Genomic DNA, 20,404 nt, shown 5'->3' with positions numbered 1-20,404 from the left:
ATGGAAGAAAATGTAACAGACCCATTTTCCTTCCATGTCACTTCTCTGGCTCTCCCTTAAGCATAAAATGCCTGCTTTTCTGCTCTTCAAACTTTTTTTTTTTTTTTTTTTTTTTTTTTTTGAGACAAGCTCTGGCTCTGCCCAGGTTAGAGTGCCATGCAATCACAGCTCACAGGAGCCTCGACCTCCTGGGCTCAAGTGATTCTCCCACTTCAACCTCCCATGTAGCTGAGTCTACAGGCATGTGCCACTATTCCCGACTAATCTTTTGAAGTTTTTGTAGAGATGGAGTCTCACTTTGTTGCCCAGGCTGGTCTCAAATTCCTGGGCTCAAGTGATCCTCCAGTCTTAGCCTCCCCAAGTGCTGGGATAATAGGCATAAGCCAACCTACCCAGCGCCCCTTCAAACTTTAACACCCAGTTGAAATACCTGCTGTCTCATTCAGGAAGGCTTTCCCATACTGTCCACTCATAATTCATCTCTACCTCCTTTGTACTTCCACATCATCTTGCAACTCTAACATTAGTGTTTTTGCCCATAGTGTCCAATAGACTGTAAGCTCCTTAAAGATAGAGTATTGCTATTTATCTAATAGCTCTAAAAGAATGCAGCATAGTGCTTTGCACACAGCAGACCTTTGATAAGCTTCTGATAAAGCAAACTCTAATTTACCAGCCTTATAATAGACATGTGTACCCTTAATATCAGTGCATCTGCAAGGAACAGCTGGTTCCAAGGTAAGCTAAACTACTGCTTAATTCATATCTGCTAGCAACACAAGGACCAAATGTATGGGTGCATTCCCACCTTGTTATGGAAGAAGTGACACTAACTCATACTGACTCAGAATTCTAGAAAATATCATAAATCAGAGGCATCATCTTCATGCAAGAAGACTGAGATCAGTCACAATAACTGATCAGAGACCTAGCTATTAAAAATAACATGTTATAATGCATGCTAGGAAACGGAAATTCCCAGATAGCTTCCTCTGAAAAACAGAGCACCGAAGTTGCCACTGGGAAAACTCAGGACCTGGTCCCTGCTTACAGTGTTTTATGTTCCTGTGCCAAACATTTGACTTTCTCCATTAGTGAAATGGGAGGGAAAGATAATCCCCATCCACTGCAAGGATAGTTTCCCCTAATGTGCTTTTCCCATGCTCACCGCAGTGTAAACCCCACAAAGCTTCCCAAGTGATCCTGTTAAAGGGCATTTGAAGAGTGCTACTCCTCTGATGGAACCCTCAAATGGCTTTCTCTCTCACTCCAACAACTTTCCAACGGCCGACAAGGCCCTCCACAATCTGGCCTCCTGCCAGCTCCCAAACCTCATCCCAAACACCCTCCTCAACATTCTGCTCCAGCCTCACTGGCTACCTTGCTGTTCCACAAAAATACAAAGCACACACTGCCTCAGGGCCTATGCACAAGCTCCCCCTCGCCTGCAAAGTTCCCTCCACCCCCAGCTCCAGTTCTATCTGGCAAACTTCCTCAGGTCTCTGCTCGAACATAACCTTAGCAGCAGCACCTTTCCTGATGACTAGATATAAAACAGAACACCTTTCCTTCATCCAGCTGACACTCTTTACCCTCACCAAACCTGCTTTATAACCCTGATATGATTCATGTTTATTTTTCATCTATAATACATGTTTACCCATACACACTAGGATGGAAACTCCAGGAAAGCAGGATCTCCTTTGTCTTGTTTTGCTACTGCATCCTCCCTACATAGAACAATACCTAGAATGCAACAAGCGCTCCAAATATTTTTAACTAAAAATAAAAATATGTACCCTTAAGTAAAGGAGCAACATTTTTATCTTCTTAAGGAGGTAGCAGGATGGGGACTCATTCCTTCATTTTTTCAAATAACATTCTAGGAAGTGTTTCCACTTTAGTATCTTTGTTGTTGTTGTTGTAGAGACGAGGTCTTGCCTTGCCATGTTACCCACGCTGGTCTGGAACTCTTCACCTCAAGCAATCCTGCTGCCTTGGCTTCCCAAAGTGCTGGGATTACAAGTGTGAGCCACTATGCCTGGCCCACTTTAATATCTTAAACTATAAAATTGATATATGCACATTATGGGAAAAGAACAAACAACAAATATTACCCTTCCACGTATAATTTTTTAAAAGTTATAACATTAAAAAAACTAAATAATTATATTCCCCCAAAAGATTCATGTTGCTGGAGTTGGTGCACCCCCTTTCAGACCTGTTCTATGAATGTGTTTATCTAGGTAGATATAGCTCTAGCTTCCTACCCACAAAAATAAGATATCTTTGATTCTGTTCTGTAATTTGTATACTATATCATGCAATCTTGATGCACATATAAACTATCTTACCTTTTTTTTTTTTTTTTTTGAGACGGAGTCTCGCTCTTCCGCCCAGGCCAGAGTGCAGTGGTGCTATCTCGGCTCACTGCAAGCTCCGCCTCCCGGGTTCACGCCATTCTTCCGCCTCAGCCTCCCGAGTAGCTGGGACTATAGGCACCCGCCCCGGCGCCCAGCTCATTTTTTGTATTGTTAGTAGAGACGGGGTTTCACCGTGTTAGCCAGGATGGTCTCGATCTCCCGACCTCGTGATCCGCCTGCCTCGGCCTCCCTAAGTGCTGGGATTACAGGCGTGAGCCACCACGCCGGGCCTATCTTACCCTTTTTTTTTTTAACAACTATTTCATTTCTATTTTGTAGGTACATCATAACATAGAATCTAATCCCCTATTGATAAACCGATTCAACTGTTTTTTGTTTTGTTCTGTTTTTGAGATGGAAGCTCGCTCTGTTGCCCAGGCTGGAGTGCAGTGGCACAATCTCAGCTCACTGCAACCTCTGCCTCCTGGGTTCAAGCAATTCTCCTGCCTCAGCCTCCTGAGTAGCTGGGACTACAGGCACGTGCCACCACGCCAAGCTAATTTTTTGTGTTTTTAGTAGAGACAAGGTTTCACCATGTTAGCCAGGATGGGTCTTGATCTCCTGACCTCATGATCCGCCTGCCTCAGCCTCCCAAAGTGCTGGGATTACAGGCGTGAGCCACCACGCCTGGACTCAACTGTCTTTCATTTGAAAAGAAAAAAAGTCTCAAGCCAAATGCACCCTCTGGTCAAGACAGGATGTCACCTACACATCCTGAACTGAGCAGAAGCTGATGCAGATTCCTGAAGGAACAAGGAGGCGCTCCGTGGAGAGGCTACCACGTGAGACCTAAGACCAATGAACACAATCTTCTGCTCCTACAAAATGGCCCCTTCTCTCTCCTTTTTTCTTCACAATCCAGCAAGCAATTACAAAACTAGAGATGACTCTGGGGCCCACTGTGCCATCTCACTCTGTCATCTTCTGCTCCTTTTTTCCCTTATGAAAGATGAATTATCCCAACCCAGCACCAACCCCCCACATGGGCTGAGAAAAGTGACACCTGTTGATTCTCCTTCACCCATGTGTTATGCAAAAGATATCCAAGAAGGGTCCCCCTGAGACCCTCCAATGGCAGACTTTATTTCCTGAGCTGCCTTCGTGATTTATATAGCAGTTTCTCCCCCTCTTCCGTCCCCAGCAGTGATCCCAGAACAGGATGTTGCTCATAAATCTTTTCCCTCAGCTTACCTACCACCCACTGACCAGCTTATTTTTACAAGAGTTGCTATTTCCCATACTCCTTCAGTGTAAGACCCCTATGTAAGGTCACAGGAGTTTTGTTCTTGAGGTCCTTGCCCAGCATAAAAATAGGGCACAGTCGAAATATCATACTTCTGCCATTGTGAATACTGAAAACTGTACGAACGTCTATGAAGGAACGTCAATGTTATTTTCAAAACTACATCCTAAATCCAGGGAGACAAAAAGCAGGCAAATCACTAAGAAGACATAACCATTTCTTGGTGGCAGAGGCCAATAATCATTCTTCTATAAATTATTTAATGTATTAATTGATTGAATTTCTACTGTGTCTGCTAGCTCATAATCAGCTGTCCAATGACAGAATCTTGTAAGGAAGATAAAAACAAAAACAATTTAAATGCCATAATAAAAGGTTGTATCTTTGAGAAATGGGAGACCATTACTGCCTGAGGGTAAGAGAGGAGGTTTCACGGAAGAGGTGACTGAATCCACAGTTTAACAGCATTTGATGTTCTGAACCTCTTCTCCCCACCTGCTCTTCCCTTGGCCAAGAGAGCACTCTCCTGGGTTTTGTCAGCTTCTTTATCAGCTCCATCTCAACCTCCTTACTAAGCCTTCTCTGCTACTTAGTTCCCACTAAGTTGCTACGTAGTTCAAGTTCCTGAGCACTCTCATCTGTTGGGAAATCTCATGCACAACTGTGATTCATTTTCTACTGAATAAATTGTGTCTTAAGCCCAGACCTTCCCCAATGAACTCTAGACTTAGAGAACCAATTGCCCACTTAACATCTCCACTTGCCAGGATTTTCACAGGCATTTCAAACCTGGACTACTCAAAAAGGAACTTGTACCACTCTCAGTCTTTCCCATCTTTCAGCATCTCCCAGTGACAAAACCAATGATTAAGAATTGTTCTTGAGTCTTCTGTTTCATGCATCCAACCTACCTATCTTTTCTCATTGTTTACAAAAAAAAAAAAATCATCCAGAGCCCACTGGATTCTCTTCAGCTCTCCCATGCACTACTTACTTCATATCCCCACAATGGGTTGCTTTGCTTCTGCTCCTGCCCATGTCCCACTAAACTCCATTCTCCATTTGACAAGCGACCTTTTAAAATCATATTAAACCACTAACATATTTAAAATAGTTTGATGGCTTCCCATTACCCTAAATACATGGTCAAATTTCTTAGCATGGCTCACCAGATCACTTCCTGACCTGGTGCTCTCTGCTCCAGCTACAGTGAACTTCATTCAGTTCCTCAAAAGGGCCCTACGGTTTACTTCTGTTTTGTTTTTTCTTTTCGCCCAAGTCTTCACAAGTATGGTTCCTTTATCTGGAACACACATCTCTCTTTTATCCACTCCTCCACCCAATTTTTTCAACTCTAAACATACATCAGTGTTCTGCCTAACTGCCTCTTCCAAGAAGTCTTCTCTGATTAGTCCTCAAATCTATGCTGAGGTACTACTCCTACATGTTCCTGTAAAACCCTGTATTTCCCTGATAGCACTGACAGACAAAGGGATGGACTGATGAAGCAGGGATGGGAGGAAGGAATAGTATATGCCAAGGCACAGTACTTGAATGACAAAAGCCTGTATATGGAATTGAGAGATCTTCTATAAAGCAAGGCACCAAGGTTGGTAGAAGGACAGTAGTGATGGGAGATGAGACTTGAAAAACAAGCTGAGGCCCAGGGGATAAAGGGCTTGAACACCACACTAAGGGAATCAAACTCTAAAGTGTAGGAGATATGGTGCCCTGGAAGTTTTTAACTAGAGAAGCAAAAGGAATGTATGGGAAACTTCCCCATATAAGGAAGTCTCTCCTAATTATTATGGAACAGAAGAGGAGGAATGATTAAATTAGAATGGGGGATAATGGCTTACCTCTGGAGAAGTAGAGGAAGATGCCCACACGCTACAATCAACAAATCCTAAAGGCTCAACCAGCAGACTGAGCCAAGTAACTCTTAAGGAGTCAAAAATGCCCATTAGCCTAGTAATACTATGATTTTTTTTTTTTTCCTGTGAGCCATCTTGGAGCAAATATCTTCAAAATATACACAATATTTCTGCTTTTGGGGGAGCTACAGTGCTTTCCTGGCTTGAAAATGCAGATGTTGGAATCACCCACTGGGGGATGGTGAAGTCACTATGAAAGATTATACAGAGAAAATCCATAGTATAAAAAGAAAGCAAGTCAGAGATAGAGATTTGAGGAATGCCAACTTTTATCAAGCAAGACAAAAGGAAGTTTGGTGAGAAATTGAGAGGGCCTCATCAGAATCACAAGGCACAGGAGCCAGATTGTGTCTCAGAAATCAGAGAAGAGGAAGGATTGACAGCACCGCACACAAAATTCAATATATATCACTCTGCACACAGTAGGTGCTGAGCATTTACTGAAGTGCAAAATATACTGTAGTACCTCCATTTAGGGTGTGGGTATGTGTGTGGGTAAGATGCATATTTCTCAGATTATCAAGTCACTATCTCACTGTAGAAACTACCACCTTGCACGTATCCCAGAACTTAAAAAAAAAAAAAAAGGAAAGAAAAAAGAAACTAACTACCACCCTGGGGAAGAGGGGAGAATACAGCACACCAAAAACCACATTCATTCCCTGAATCAATGGATGACAGCTCTGAGTTCTCTTAAAAAGAAACTACTTTATTTCATACATATCATTACCCTCCAATTTTCTGAATTGGGAAGTTTAATGCATCTTGTCTTCATTAAGGAGAAACCTTGCTCAAGTGTGAAAAGGCATTAGTATGAGAAGGTCATGTGAGTGGGTGTGAGGGACAGGGGTGCAATGAATTCAGCAATGACAAGCACTGATGGGGGAGAAAGGCCTTGGGAGAAGGGAAGGCGTATGCAAATACCCATGGGCTGCAATCAGCAAATCCAAAGCCTCAACCAGCAGACTGACTGAGCCAAGTAACTCTTAAGGAGTCAAAAATGCCCATTAGCCTAATAATGATACTATCAATTATTTTTTTTCTGTGAGCCATCTTGGAGCAAATATCTTCAAAATACAGACAATACTCCTGGGTTTTTTGGCTACAATGCTTTCCTAGATATAGACTTAGAATGCAAAATGAAGAGGGGGAATTCCCTCTACAGGCTATACCCTTCACTTCCCTTTTGCTAATAGGTGGATAAGAGAAGAGGCTTAGCAAGTGTGTGTAGAAACTGAACATTAATCCAAACCAAACACCCTGGTTAAAACAGACAAAAACACTGCTGTGAGAAAACATTGACAAATTAGCCGAAAAGTGAAATACAGGTAACCTGTAGGCACCATTGGCTCTAAGGCTTGCCTGTGCAAGGAATTTGTTTTTAAAAGGTCAATGAAGACAAATAGGTAGCAGTAAATCACTGTTTACATAATTCTGAAGACTTTATATAGATGCCTTAAAATGTAGTTTTCAACAGTTGAGTCAACAATGCGTAATTGTCTTAACAGTTACAGACTTTCACAGCAACACTAAGTTAACCCATTAGTAACAGAGTAAGAACTTTGGGTTGTTTTTCTAAGAAAGGTCAAATAAATACCCATTATAACCACCCTCCACATCAGCACTCCTCCATCTCTCTATGACAGCAACAATAACTCCAATAGCGGCAAACTCAAATCACTTATTAATTGCTGGTTATTTGCAAAACACAGAGATAGTGCTGAAGGATTAAATAGGTCTTTGGTATAAAAGATGTTTACGACTCAGACGGATATATGAGATGGAGGAAAATAATTACTAAATGTTTTATTAGTCTGTGTCTAATCAGGAGAGAGAAACCATACAATAATGCAAACAGAAATTTAATATTTAAAAATAGTAAGCTATGATAGAGGAATAACGAGAAGGATGTATATAACAGCCGGGCGCAGTGGCTCAGGCCTGTAATCCCAGCACTTTGGGAGGCTGAGGCAGGTGGATCACCTGAGCTCGGGAGTTCGAGACCAGCCTGACCAACGTGGAGAAACCCTGTCTCTACTAAAAATACAAAATTAGCCGGGCATAGTGGCACATGCCTGTAACCCCAGCTACTCAGGAGCTGAGGCAGGAGAATTGCTTGAACCCAGGAGGTGGAGGTTGTGGTGAGCAGAGGTTGCACCATTGCACTCCAGCCTGGGCAACAAGAGTGAAACTCCATCTCAAAAAAAAAAAAAAAAAGATGTATAGAACAACCCAGGCGGCTGGGTGCGGTGGCTCACACCTGTAATCCCAGCACTTTGGGAGGCCAAGGCAGGCGGATCATGAGGTCAGGAGATTGAGCCCATCCTGGCCAACACCCCATCTCTACTAAAAATAAAAAAAATTAGCTGGATGTGGTGGTGCGCACCTGCAATCCCAGCTACTCGGGAGACTGAGGCAGGAGAATGGCTTGAACCTGGGAGGCAGAGATTGCAGTGAGCCAAGATCACACCATTGCACCCTAGCCTGGTGACGGGGCGAGACTCCATCTCAAAAAAAAAAAAAACCAAAAGAACAACCCAGGCATGGTGGTTCATGCCTGTAATCCCAGCACTTTGGGAGGCCGAGGCAGGAGGACTGCTTGAGGCCAGGAGTTCAGAACTAGCTTGGGCAACATGGTGAGATCCCAGGTCTACAAAAAAATTGTACTAAAAAAAAAAAAAAAAAAAAACCAGTCTAGTCATGGTGACTCACACCTGTAATCATAGCATTTGGGAGGCCAAGGTGGGAAGATCACTTGAGCCCAGGAGATTGAGGCTGTAGTGAACCGTGACTGTGCAATGCTGCACTCCAGCCTGGACAACAGAGTGAGACACTGTCTCAAAAAAAAAAAAGAAATGAAAAGAAAAGGTGGTATTTCAGCTGAACCTTAAAGGATGACTAAGATATCAATAGACTGAGGAGCTGGGAAAGGGAGAGAAAACTCATTCCAGGTTGAGAAAACAGTTTCATTATTAACCCTGAGATCATTGGCAAACCACTTAACCCCTTTAAACTTCAAATGGAACTATCTGCCTGACCTACCCTATAAGATCTTTATAAGGTTAAAATACAATACTGGACTAGGAATAAGCTTTTTAAAAAGTTTAAAGCATTGGATGAAAAAGAGTAGATGCACATAGTAACCTACACATAGTAACCTGAACGCAAGCGCTAATGTGAACTCCCTGTGGACTAATCTACCTCCATCCCAGTTCCTTCCCTCCCCCATGGTACCAGTTTTTCTTCCCATCCCCTCTCCCTAGTTCCTAGTTGACACTTTTGACATCAAAGGCTCTCCACAAAGTCTTTGATGAATGAATGAATATTGGATTAAGAACAGAGAACTTCCATTCAAGATCAAACTAACCTGAAGGAAATATATGATTTCTATTTACTTAACCTAAAAGGATAAAAAGTATTATTAAATGAATACCTAGTTTCTTTACACATAGTTATCTATGCTTTTTTTTTTTTTTTTTTTTTTTTGAGATGGGAGTCTCACTCTGTCACCCAGGCTGGAGTACAGTAGTGTGATCTTAGCTCACTGTAACCTCTGCCTCCCAGGTTCGAGCAATTCTCGTGCCTCAGCCTCTCAAGTAGCTGGGATTACAGGTGCATGCCAGCACGCCTGGCTAATTTTTGTATTTCCTGAAGAGATGATGTTTCACCATGTTGCCCAGGCTGGTCTCGAACTCCTGGCCTCAAGTGATCCACCCACCTCAGCCTCTCAAAGTGCTGAGTTTTACAGGCATAAGCCACCGTGCTTGGCCTATACTTATCTTCATGTGTATCCTAAACTATATCTTAAAGTAATATTTTAGTAGTAAATATGAAATGAGAATTTTATTGAGAAATTAATTCATAGTGTCACCTACCATTTCAAATTACCCAAACTCTTAATAATGTAAGTTCCAGAGTAACAAAAATCAGACTCATCATCACTTGAACCCACAGTTGGCAGGAACACGTGATTATACAGTTCACATACAGTGCCAGGCGCTGGTCCCAGACAATGCTTCAGAGTTGGGTCTCAGAGCATGGGAAGGCTGCTTTCCCTATATTGCCCAATGGAACCCAAACTTTTAAACCTCAGGTGTTCTATGAACATCATGAAGTTCAAATTCTCCACACCCTAAATGCTGAAATTATCAAAGGCAAGTCAACAGAAAGGGAAGAAAATTAATATTTATTAAATGTCTATTGAGTACCAAGCACTCCATGGGCTTTAAATAAATGTATATATTTAGTCATTATTATCCTTATTTTACAAATGAAAGAACTAGAGTTTGGAGAGGTTAAGAAAATTGCCCAGCATTACCTGTCTCATGGGGATACAATTCAAACCCAGATCTAACTGATTTCAAAGCAAACTCTCTCTTAATTAGGCTGCCTCTCCAGGTGAAAATTTAGTGGCAGGGTCCCAGTGAGCCTGTAAGAAGTGTTCTACTCACCAGAGTCACTACTCCAGGTTGAGGACATGAGACAGGAAAAAAAAAAAAAAAAAAAAGAAACAATAACTTTTCCAAATATCCTGCTATCTCAGCTCGTGCATACCCTTTGCTCTCAACTCCCTGGCTTTGTCCTTTACCAGCTATTGAGGAACACATTTTAAAAAACATATATTTTAGACAAATAAAATATAGTCTCCACTCTCATTTATTGAATACTCTGTCCTACTGGAAAATTAAACCTCCATTCTTAAAGGACAATTTCATATCTCGTTTACCAAGTGCTCTGCGGGGGACAGTAAGCCTCTGCCGGATGTAGAAAGATAATCTAAAACGAGAACTGCTACAACTTCTAACCGTTGAGAGGTTGATTTATTAACAGGGCAGCCACCTGACATCTGTGCAATGCTGTAACAGACCACAAAGTGCTCTGAGAGAGCACACATCATCTCACCACGGCGATGAAAAGGGCTCTGAAACGCAAACTGGGGAGATTCTAATTTAGGATGGGAACCACCTCCATTCCTTAATTTTTTTTTTTTTGGGTAACTAATCTTTTCATCTTTTTCCTGCCATATGACTCAGTAGTGACCCCTATTCCCATCACTCAGCCCCCCCTTCCCACACCCCCACTATGCCCCAGTGCAAAGAAATCAGCTTTGTTCCTTCACTGGAAAAGATGCACGTTTCTCTGACTACTGTAGCCATGCTGAAACTATCTCCCAGGAACAACTTTTTATCTCATTCATGTCAAAAAAGAAGAGTCAGCTAGAGGGGATCTGTGGCCCAAAACTCAGAGTTTTAAACCAGAGCTCAGAAAGTATATCCCTGCCACCAGCTTCTACAAAGACAAAAAGGGAACAGGGACTTGAGGGTTCGGTGATGGAAGGAAGCTAGCCACTGATGAGTATCTTCCTTTTCCCTTTTTCATCTGTAAAACATAACCTCATAGGGAGTTACGAGATTGAAAGCATGCCTATCAAATACTTAGCACAGGTCTCGTCTGGTCACTGCGCTTATTAAATATTTTCATGGGTATCTGTACTCATGAAGGCAGGGTTAACTGGTGGTGTCTCCCACATTCTCACCATTCTGATATCAAAGGGGAATGGAAGGCCTTCAATACTCTCATCTGTAGTTGGAAATATTTCATCTGGAGGATAGCTTGTCTCTGTCAACCATCCAGGGATGCTGTGCTCCTTGCCAGCTGTGACCTCTGCTCCTTTCTCAAGTCTTACAACTTGCTTGGAAGATAGGCTCAGAAGGTGATTACTAAACATGTGGAAAGTCAGTAAACACATTAGAATTCTTGGGTGCCCAGTGCCTTACCAGTTCCACTCAGGTTACAAAGGGCAGTCTCTGACCTCCAGTTGTTTAAAATCTGGTAGGGCTTGGACTGACTGCAACAGAGGAGCCAAGTGGAAAAACAGCAAGAGATAAGCTTGGTGGGGAGCTGACTACACAACGAGAGTTTACTGAAGGTAGGCCTTAACTGCAAGCTGAATTTAGGCAGCAATTTGCAATCTTAATCCCATAAAATGTTGTACTATTTTTAGTAGCATTGCTTTCAACACCATAAAGTATGCACATACTTTAGTTTTGGTTAAACGTTTTGATCATACTCAAAGCCTTGTAACTACACAAATATAAAGAAATACTATCTTTAAACTCTAAAACCACTGCCTTTGGACTTCTTTTACAAAGAGCTAAGAATTTACTTAAAAACGGACCTTTTTCTACACTGCACAGGAATAAAGGAGTTTTCCTCCTGATGTCGGGTGGGAAAAGGAGTAAAGGAGCCCTCAGTCTCCTGAGAGGAGCAGCACTCAGAAATTCTGCCCTGTTCCACTTTACTGTAACAACGCAGCGGAACCCACTGCACTTCAATTCTCAACACATGCAGGATACCTGCTGGGCCGTCCTAGGCACAGCATTTTTCCAGTAGTGTTTGAGATTCAGGGTAAATCCTGGGTAACAGCGGCAGCTCCCTTGTAACCTTAAAGAAAGATCTTTTCCAGTGTGAACAGTCAAAATTCAAACGAAGAGCAGCCCCATGCTCACCACTAGGAAACCCTGTTTTCCTTTAATTAAAAAAAAATGTAGAGGTCATCCCTCAGCTTTGTTTACAAGTAATGAGTCCAGCAGCCCCCATTTATCACCCCTGGAGATTCTTTTACACTTTGATGTGAAAAGAGTCAGGGCCCATTGTGATTTCAACTACTCCAACAGCAGTCCTTTCATTTGCAAACGAGGCCCTGGCCCCCAGTTAGAACCAACTGTCAGAAAAAAATTCATTGCCTTTCCTTCCAATTATTTATCAGAGACAGAGAAGAGAAGCTGGCTTTAAGACATCGCTCAAGAAAAGGTTCCCAGCACACCCCTAATGCATTCCTTACCTTCCCTGGTTCTTTCAGCCCAGAATGCCCCTTTCCCAAATTCCACAGCTCATGAAAGCCAACCTCTGCTTTCAAACCATCCCATCTGGAATGACTTTCTCCTTTCAGCTTTACACAAAACCCAAGTGGCCTAACGTTACTTATCGTTTAGGTGTCCCTCCCTTAGGGCAACTCTGCAATTTTCTGCAGAGCAAGGAAAGTACCAGCACTCTGACTTCCCTAACAGACACTCAACCATCCCAACAATGAGTTCAAAAGGCACCCATTTTTTCCCCCATCTCTACCAGTCTCTCACATTGGGAAAAAAAAAAAAAAAAGAGTATTAAGGAACTTTAAAAGGGAGTGAGGCTTTAAAGATTTATTCAACTATTTAAGAAGTGTGAAGTAGCAGACAAAAAGAGGAAGGGACCCAACACAATAAAGAGGTTTCTTTTTTTAATGTAAACTTTTAAAATTAAAAATAACACACATTTTTTAAAGTGTAGAGCTCACATATAAATTTTCACAAAATGATATACTCTTGTAACCAACACCCAGATCAAAACAGAATACCGGCACTCCTGGGCAATTTAACTATTTTAAGCAAAAAGAGTTATCTTGACTCTAACCAAGCTTTTAGTGCTAACTTCCATTCTTCAGGAAATACATGGGATAGGCTGACAGTTTCTCAATCTCAGCACTATTGACATTAGAAACCAGGAAATTATTTGTGGTGGGGGCTGTTCTGTGCATTGTAGATGTTTAATAACATCCCTGGCCTCTACTCACTAGATTGTGATGACTAAAAATCTCTCTAGACATTGTCAAATGTCCCCTGGAAGAGAGGGAGACAAAATTGTCCTCCGTTGAGAACTACTGCTATATCGAAACAAGTTAAACGCATTAATAGGAAACAAACAAATCCAAGAAGTAGGACATACATGCAACTGTTTCCTTAACTAGTAAATGCTCCCACCCCACAAGTAAATAGAGTAAATGCTGCTCTGGATTAAGACTCAAGAAACAAAACCTAATGCAATATGTGAACTTTGGTTTCCTTGGATCAAGATGAAGACAATTTTATTATTTATTATTTATTTTATTTTATTTTTTTGAGAGAGTCTTACTCTGTCTCCCAGGCTGGAGTGCAGTGGCACAATCTCGGCTCACTGCAACCTCTGCCTCCTGGGTTGAAGTGGTTCGCCTGCCTCAGCCTCCCGAGTAGCTGGGACTACAGGCACGTACCACCACACCCGGCTAATTTTTTATTTTCAGTAGAGACGGGGTTTCACCATGTAGGTCAGGCTGGTCTCGAACTCCTGACCCTCAGGTGATTTACCCACCGTGGCCTCCCAAAATGCTGGAATTACAGGCATGAGCCACCGCACCTGGCTAAAAACAATTTTAAAAGACATTTTAAAACAATCTAGAAAGTTTGGGGCCGGGCACGGTGACTCACGCCTGTAATCCCAGCACTTTGGGAGGCTGAGTTGGGCAGATCACTTGAGGTCAGGAGTTTGAGACCAGCCTAACATGGTGAAACCCCGTTTCTACTAAAAATACAAAAAATTAGCCAGGCATGGTGATGTGCACCTGTAATCTCAGCTACTCGGGAGGCTGAGGCAGAAGAATTGCTTGAACCTGAGAGGTGGAAGTTGCAGTGAGCCCAGATGGCACCACTGCACTCCAGCTTGGGCAACAAGAGTGAAACTCCGTTTCAAAAAAAAAAAAAAAAAAAGGAAAAAAAAAGAAAAAGTTCAGAGATAGACTAGGTATTAGACGAATCCAAGATGTTAATTTTATTAGGTGTGAGACGGGTATGTATTTAAGTAGGGAAATGTCCATATATTTTTAGAGATGCACATAAAGTATGAAGAAGTGAAATGGAATTTGCTTTAAAATAGTTCAGCAAAGAAAAAGAGGAAAAAGGATAGTTGTTTGTTTGTTTTTTTAAGTATGGCAAAATCAGGCTAGGCGCAGTGGCTCAGGGCTGGGCATGGTGGCTCACGCCTGTAATCCCAGCACTTTGGGAGGCTGAGGTGGGAGGATCACCTGAGGTCAGGAGTTTGAGACCAGCCTGGCCAACATGGTGAAACCCTGTCTCTATTAAAAATAAAAAATTAGCCAGGTGTGGTGGCATGCACCTGTAGTCCCAGATACTTGGGAGGCTGGGGCAGGAGAATTGCTTGAACCCAAGAGGCAGAGGTTGCAGTGAGCGGAGATCACAACACTGCACTCCAGCCTGGGCAACAGAGTGAGATTCCATCTCAAGAAAAAAGAAAAAAAAATTTCCAACCAAAAATGAACTAGTTGCCCCAGCATTCCCCACAGTCTGATTCACATACTCAGCTATGAAGGTCTCTCCAGGCTTTTGCTTTCTCCAGTAAAATTAGGCTACTGATATGAATACCTTACAGAGCATAGAAAACATGACTCAGATTTTGAAATAATGGTTCCCCAGCTTCTGCAAAACAGGAGAAACTGGAACTGAAATTCTCTTCTTCCTAAAGTAGGCTGACTAGTATGGCTTCAGAAGAAAAGTACTGTTATAATGGAAGGCCTCCAGAAAGAAAAATGGTTCTTTCCCACATCAAGACAGTATAAAATTAGTATCCCTACAAAGACAATGTTATCCCCAGCAATTCAACTCAGTGTTCATCTTATCTACCACCTGGACCAAGTTTAGCACCTAAAATGATATAATGCCAAATGCCTGGACTAGTGTCCACTATACTGAAGGCACAAAATAATTATTAATATTAATTCATTCTCCTCCAACTCTCAGCCTCAGCAGGGAGTTCAGGGCTAAAGACAGAGAAAAAGTACATGCAAATAAACAAAAGTGACCCCAGGCACAATGGCTTGTGAGCTTAAAATAAAGATGACTCCAAACAGAAACCTACCTTAGAGGCAAGCAATTCCTCTCCTAAACATCTGCCCAAAAGAAATAAAAACATATGTGGAACATTGCTCATAAAAACAAAAAAGTGGATACTACCTAAATGTCCATTAACTGATGAATAGTACAAGATGGCACATCTATGCAATGGAATATTATTTAGCAATAAAAAGGACTGAAAAACTGATACATGCTGTAATATGGATGAATCTTGAAAACTTTATCCTAAGAAGCCAGTCACAAAAATTAACATATTGTATGATTGCACTTATATAAAATGTCCAGAATAGGCAAAATTATTGAGGATTAATAGTTACCTGGGGCTGGGAATGAAAATGGGATTAACTGTAAACAGGTAGTTCCATCTAGATGAAAATGTTCTAAAGCTGGATTGTAGTAATGGTTGCACAACTCAGTAAAGTTACTAAAAATTAAACTGTATACTTAAAATAGCTTGTAAATTACACCTCAATAAAGTTACTTCTGTTGTTTTCTAAGATGACTATGCCACTTGTAGAAGAGTAAATACTATGTAGCAGTGTCTTCTTATATGCAAAATTTAGCTTTCCTTTTGGGAAATAACTAATTCCAAAAAAATATTTCCTCAGTTCTCAGGTAAGTCTGAATCTAAACTCTTCTAAACCCATCAAACTGAGTGACTCATCTTAAACTACATATGACAATGACACATACTTATCAGTTAGCAATCATTTTCTAAAATGAGGGAAAACAAGGTGTTTTGTATAAGAAATATTATTGCACTTGTAAATCAGGCCAGAAACTAGTTCACTTGAAAATGCAGGAAACCTTATTTCCTCATTTCACAATTCCAGGTGTGCACTATTTACAATGCCCAGGCCAATCACTATTTCAGGAAAACATGGCCTACAGCCATTAAACTCTCTAGTAAGCATCTAGAAGTTTGGCCCTTGATTTACTTGCACAAAGAAGATCTGTCCATATAATAGGTGTTAATCTGTTGAACACCTTGTAGCTTCCTCAATAATTGAGAATTCTTCTCAATTAGGAGAGTTAAACATCAATTCAAACTCGAAAAGGAGAGCTTCCAGGGGCTACAGTATTCCATCCTATATGATGCAAGGTTAACAAAATCCAATCCCTCAAATCTTCCCAAAAACTGAAAAGCATCTCAGCAAATCTCCTAAAACACTTCAGTACCCACTCTGAATGGCAGAAGACGATAAAATCATGTCCCACCCATTTGGTGGTATAGCCTGAAATGACATTTACTTCATTCTTATGGTTTATTTTAACATGTTTTCCCCCTGTCCTCAAGTAAAAAATTTCCCAGAATATATCCCAACTTTACTCTCTGGCTTCAGTTACCTGGGCCCAATTTCAGAAGAATGTAATTTAGCACACACTTTGTAAAAATTAATTTTAGTTTCAAGATTCCAAGGAGAAAATGAGACATTTCAAGCAGTTGATACAAAAGAGTAAGAAGGGGAACATGTTAGTGAAATGGCAAAAAGGCACATTCTCTCTTTCAATAAGGAAAAAGAAATTAGAAAGTCCAAGCAAAGCAAAAGCACTATTCAAAGATGAAGCAATTTAAAATTTGGCGTTTGAACAATTTATTCAGTTAATGATAGTTCATTAGTCCTAATCAATATGAACATTCTGTTCAAGTGGTATTTGAGTTGACGCTGGAGGAGAAATAAAATCCTAGACACGATTTTCCTTCTCAATCAAAACAATGTAAATAATGCTTATTGGTTTTTCCACTTTTATTGTCATTTTAAAGACAAAGCTTGCAAGGGCACAAATAATCATAAAATAAAATAGGCTATTAATCTGGAAATCTGGATAATTTAAAACCAAAAGCAGAAAGAATAGCTGGAGGGTAGATGACAGTCACAAGGTGGAACAAAAAGGATAATTACATTATCATCTTAGACTATGAGAAGTTGATGGGAAAAGAATGTAAAAGGTAAAGTGATTACATAAGTAATATACTAATATAAAATATATGATAAAGATATTTAAATATATTGAACAGAAGAAATAAAAATACCCCATGGGCTTGAACTGCACAAGTCCATTGACATGGATTTTCTTCTGCTTCAGAGACATGAAGACTTTCCTCTTTCACTCAGCATAAAGAGGATGAGAATGAAGACCTTTATGATGATCCACTTCCACTTAATGAACAGTAAATACATTTTATCTTAAGATTTTTTTGAGACAGGGTCTTGCTCTGTCACCCAGGCTGGAGTGCAGTGGTGCAATCTTGGCTCACCACAGCCTTGACCTTCCAGGCTCAAGCAATCCTCCCACCTCAGGCCTTTACCCCACCTGGACCCCTGTCAGTAGCTGGGACTACAGGTGGCTAATTTTTGTATTTTTTGTAGAGACAGGGTTTAACCATGTTGCCCAGGCTGGTCTCGAATGAATTCCTGGACTCAAGCAGTCTGCCCACCTCAGCCTCTCAAAGTGCTGGGATTACAGGCATTAGCCACCATGCCTAGAAATGATTTTAATAACATTTTCTTTTCTCTAGCTTACTTTATTGTAAGAATACACTACTTAATACATATCAAAATATGTGTTAATCAGCTGTTTATGTTATTCATAAGGCTTCCAGTCAACTGTAGGCTAATTAGTAGTTAAGCTTTTAGGGAGCCAAAAGTCATGTAGATATTTTACCCCTAAACCTCACAGTGTTTGAAGGTTAACTAATACAAACATCAAAATGAATGGAAACTTTATAAAGGAGTATATGCTATATGATTATATTTAAATCAAATTGAAAAGCAGACAAAACAAATGCAGGGTGTTACAAGTCAGAACAGTGATGACTTTTAAGGGAGGTAGTAGCTGAAAGGGGAAAGGAGAGGAGTTCTAGACAGCTGGTCTTAATCTGTTACATGTGTTCACTTTATGAAAATGCACTGAACTAGGCCGGGCACGGTGGCTCACGCCTGTAATCCCAGCACTTTGAGAGGCCGAGGCAGGTAGATCACCTAAGGTCAGGAGTTTGAGCCCAGCCTGGCCAACATGGTGAAACCCCGTCTCTACTAAAAACGTACAAAAATTAGCTGGGCGTGGTGGTGCGCCAGCTACTCGGGAGGCTGAAGCAGGAGAATCGCTTGAACCCAGGAGATGGAGGTTCCAGTGAGCCGAGATCGCGCCATTGCATTCCAGCCTGGGCGACAAGAGCAAAACTCCATCTCAAAAAAAAAAGAAAAAAGAAAAGAAAATGCACTAAACTGTACTAATAATGTCTGCCTTTTTCAGTCTGTTAGACTCCAATAACAATTTTTAGAAAGAACTATTAAAAAGGGGGACGGAAGGAAGGTGAAGAAATATAAGTGAGCTCAAATTCAACAGTGTCAAGTGCCGATAAATCTGGAAGTCACAGAATAAGCTCATTATTTGTAAGAACTAAAACATTGTCTTTGCACATTACATTAATATTCTGTCCACGCTTATGACTTTTGATAGCCCTGAGCAAAGTAAGGGTTCACGTTCAGACTTCAATTTAGTTTGAATGATTAGAGCTGCGTACTCAATACACATCTGTTTCCTTTGCAAATATATCCTAGTCCTGGACCAGTTCCACATGAATTTAATGTTTTTTTCTGGGCAAATAAAAGATTAAATACCTATCATGATTAAACATTTAAACAAGTGAGCTACTGGTGTGTATTAAAAATAGAGCTTTTTAAAGGATATCCCCAAACTTACCACTTGTAGTAGGTACTAAAACTAAAAGGAGCATATTGAGGAGGTGAGGAGCTAGAAATTATGATAAAAGTAACAAATAATAAAAACAGCTCTGTAATTGCTAGAATGTTACTATAAGGGGCAGTTACCCATCCAAACTTAATAACTAGCAAAACAAAAAAAATATGTCATAGAATATAAAGTATCTTTTTTCTTTTTGCTGGGCGCCATGGCTCAGGCCTGTAATCCTAGCACTTTGGGAGGCTGAAGGTGGGGGTGGGTAGTGGGGGTGGAGGGGAACACAAGGTCAGGAGTTTGAGACCAGCCTGGACAATATGGTGAAACCACATCTCTACTGAAAATAAATAAATAAATAAAAAATACAAAATACAAAAAGTAGCCGGGCGTGGTGGTGGGTGCCTGTAGTGCCAGCTACTCAGGAGGCTGAGGCAGGAGAAACGCTTGAACCCGGGAGGCAGAGGGGCCAAGATCACGCCACTGCACTCCAGCCTGAGGGACAGAGTGAGACTCCATCTCAAAAAAAAAAAAAAAAAAAGTTGTGTTTTTGTTTTTTTGTTTTTTTTTACTTTAAGTCCTGGGATACATGTGCAGAACATGCAGGTTTGTTAAACACACGTGCAGAACATGCAGGTTTGTTACATACATGTGCAGAACATGCAGGTTGTATACACATGCTGTGGTGGCTTGCTGTACCTATCAACCCATCATTTAGGTTTTAAGCTAAAACATCTTTTTAATCATGCCAATGATAATACTTTTACCTAATATAATTGATTCATCTACCAGAAATAACACAGGAACCAACATCAGTAACTAAACCTTTTTGAAAAATCACCTCCACGAAAATCTTACAATTAAAATTTAAAATTACTTCAGCTCCTTAAATTTTCACCAGTCTGATATCTACATTCTTATAGGAAGACGTTTTAATAGCCTACAGTAGTCAACTCTAACTGATGAATTCCAAGGGATTCCAATCAAAATGCCAATCATAAATTTTCTAGAAAATGATGAATGACTTCAGAATACACTGAGAAGCATGAGAATGAATAGCTATGAAAATTCTAAAAACAAGAATTACAAAGAATCTGCCTCAATATTATGACATATAAAGATACAGTGAAACAATATGCCACAGTTGCCAAAAGACACATCAATGGAGCAAAAGACAGCCCAACAACAGACCCAAGACTGTGATAAAATTTAGACATAGCATTTGTATCTGTGGAGAAAAGACAGGTGATTTAATAAAAAATGATGAAACAATTGTCTAGCTTTTTGCTTTAAAAAAAAAAAAAAAAAGGTTCCCAGCCAGATGTGGTGGCCCACGCCTGTAATCCCAGCACTTTGGGAGGCCAAGGCGGGCAGATCATG

At 40.8% G+C, this 20,404-nt stretch overlaps 1 protein-coding gene across 9 annotated transcripts in view, besides 5 other annotated features; it reads right to left on the bottom strand.

Annotated features, from left to right (window-relative positions):
- AFF1 (ALF transcription elongation factor 1) overlaps window positions 1-20,404 on the bottom strand; it is a 206,029-nt gene that overhangs the window by 168,787 nt on the left and 16,838 nt on the right. The gene's annotated exons all lie outside the window — the stretch shown is intronic.
- Window positions 11,222-11,516: a silencer, noted in NCBI's record as "tiled region #10323; K562 Repressive non-DNase unmatched - State 5:Enh". NCBI's record gives its function as "represses a minimal TATA promoter and a strong SV40 promoter by Sharpr-MPRA in K562 cells {active_cell/tissue: K562}" and the evidence as "EXISTENCE:reporter gene assay evidence [ECO:0000049][PMID:27701403]".
- Window positions 11,689-12,360: an enhancer, noted in NCBI's record as "OCT4-NANOG-H3K27ac hESC enhancer chr4:87881045-87881716 (GRCh37/hg19 assembly coordinates)". NCBI's record gives its function as "activates a minimal SCP1, AML or CMV promoter by ChIP-STARR-seq in naive and primed H9 embryonic stem cells {active_cell/tissue: H9 hESC(naive and primed)}" and the evidence as "EXISTENCE:reporter gene assay evidence [ECO:0000049][PMID:30033119]".
- Window positions 12,361-13,033: an enhancer, noted in NCBI's record as "OCT4-NANOG-H3K27ac hESC enhancer chr4:87880372-87881044 (GRCh37/hg19 assembly coordinates)". NCBI's record gives its function as "activates a minimal SCP1, AML or CMV promoter by ChIP-STARR-seq in primed H9 embryonic stem cells {active_cell/tissue: H9 hESC(primed)}" and the evidence as "EXISTENCE:reporter gene assay evidence [ECO:0000049][PMID:30033119]".
- Window positions 13,743-14,326: an enhancer, noted in NCBI's record as "H3K27ac-H3K4me1 hESC enhancer chr4:87879079-87879662 (GRCh37/hg19 assembly coordinates)". NCBI's record gives its function as "activates a minimal SCP1, AML or CMV promoter by ChIP-STARR-seq in naive H9 embryonic stem cells {active_cell/tissue: H9 hESC(naive)}" and the evidence as "EXISTENCE:reporter gene assay evidence [ECO:0000049][PMID:30033119]".
- Window positions 14,854-14,903: an enhancer, noted in NCBI's record as "active region_21697". NCBI's record gives its function as "activates an Ori minimal core promoter by ATAC-STARR-seq in GM12878 lymphoblastoid cells {active_cell/tissue: GM12878}" and the evidence as "EXISTENCE:reporter gene assay evidence [ECO:0000049][PMID:35858748]".

The sequence above is a fragment of the Homo sapiens genome, chromosome 4 (assembly GCF_000001405.40).
Source record: "Homo sapiens chromosome 4, GRCh38.p14 Primary Assembly".
NCBI lineage: Eukaryota > Metazoa > Chordata > Mammalia > Primates > Hominidae > Homo > Homo sapiens.
The sequence above is the reverse complement of the archived record's forward strand: the minus strand, read 5'-3'. Positions and strand labels throughout refer to the sequence as shown.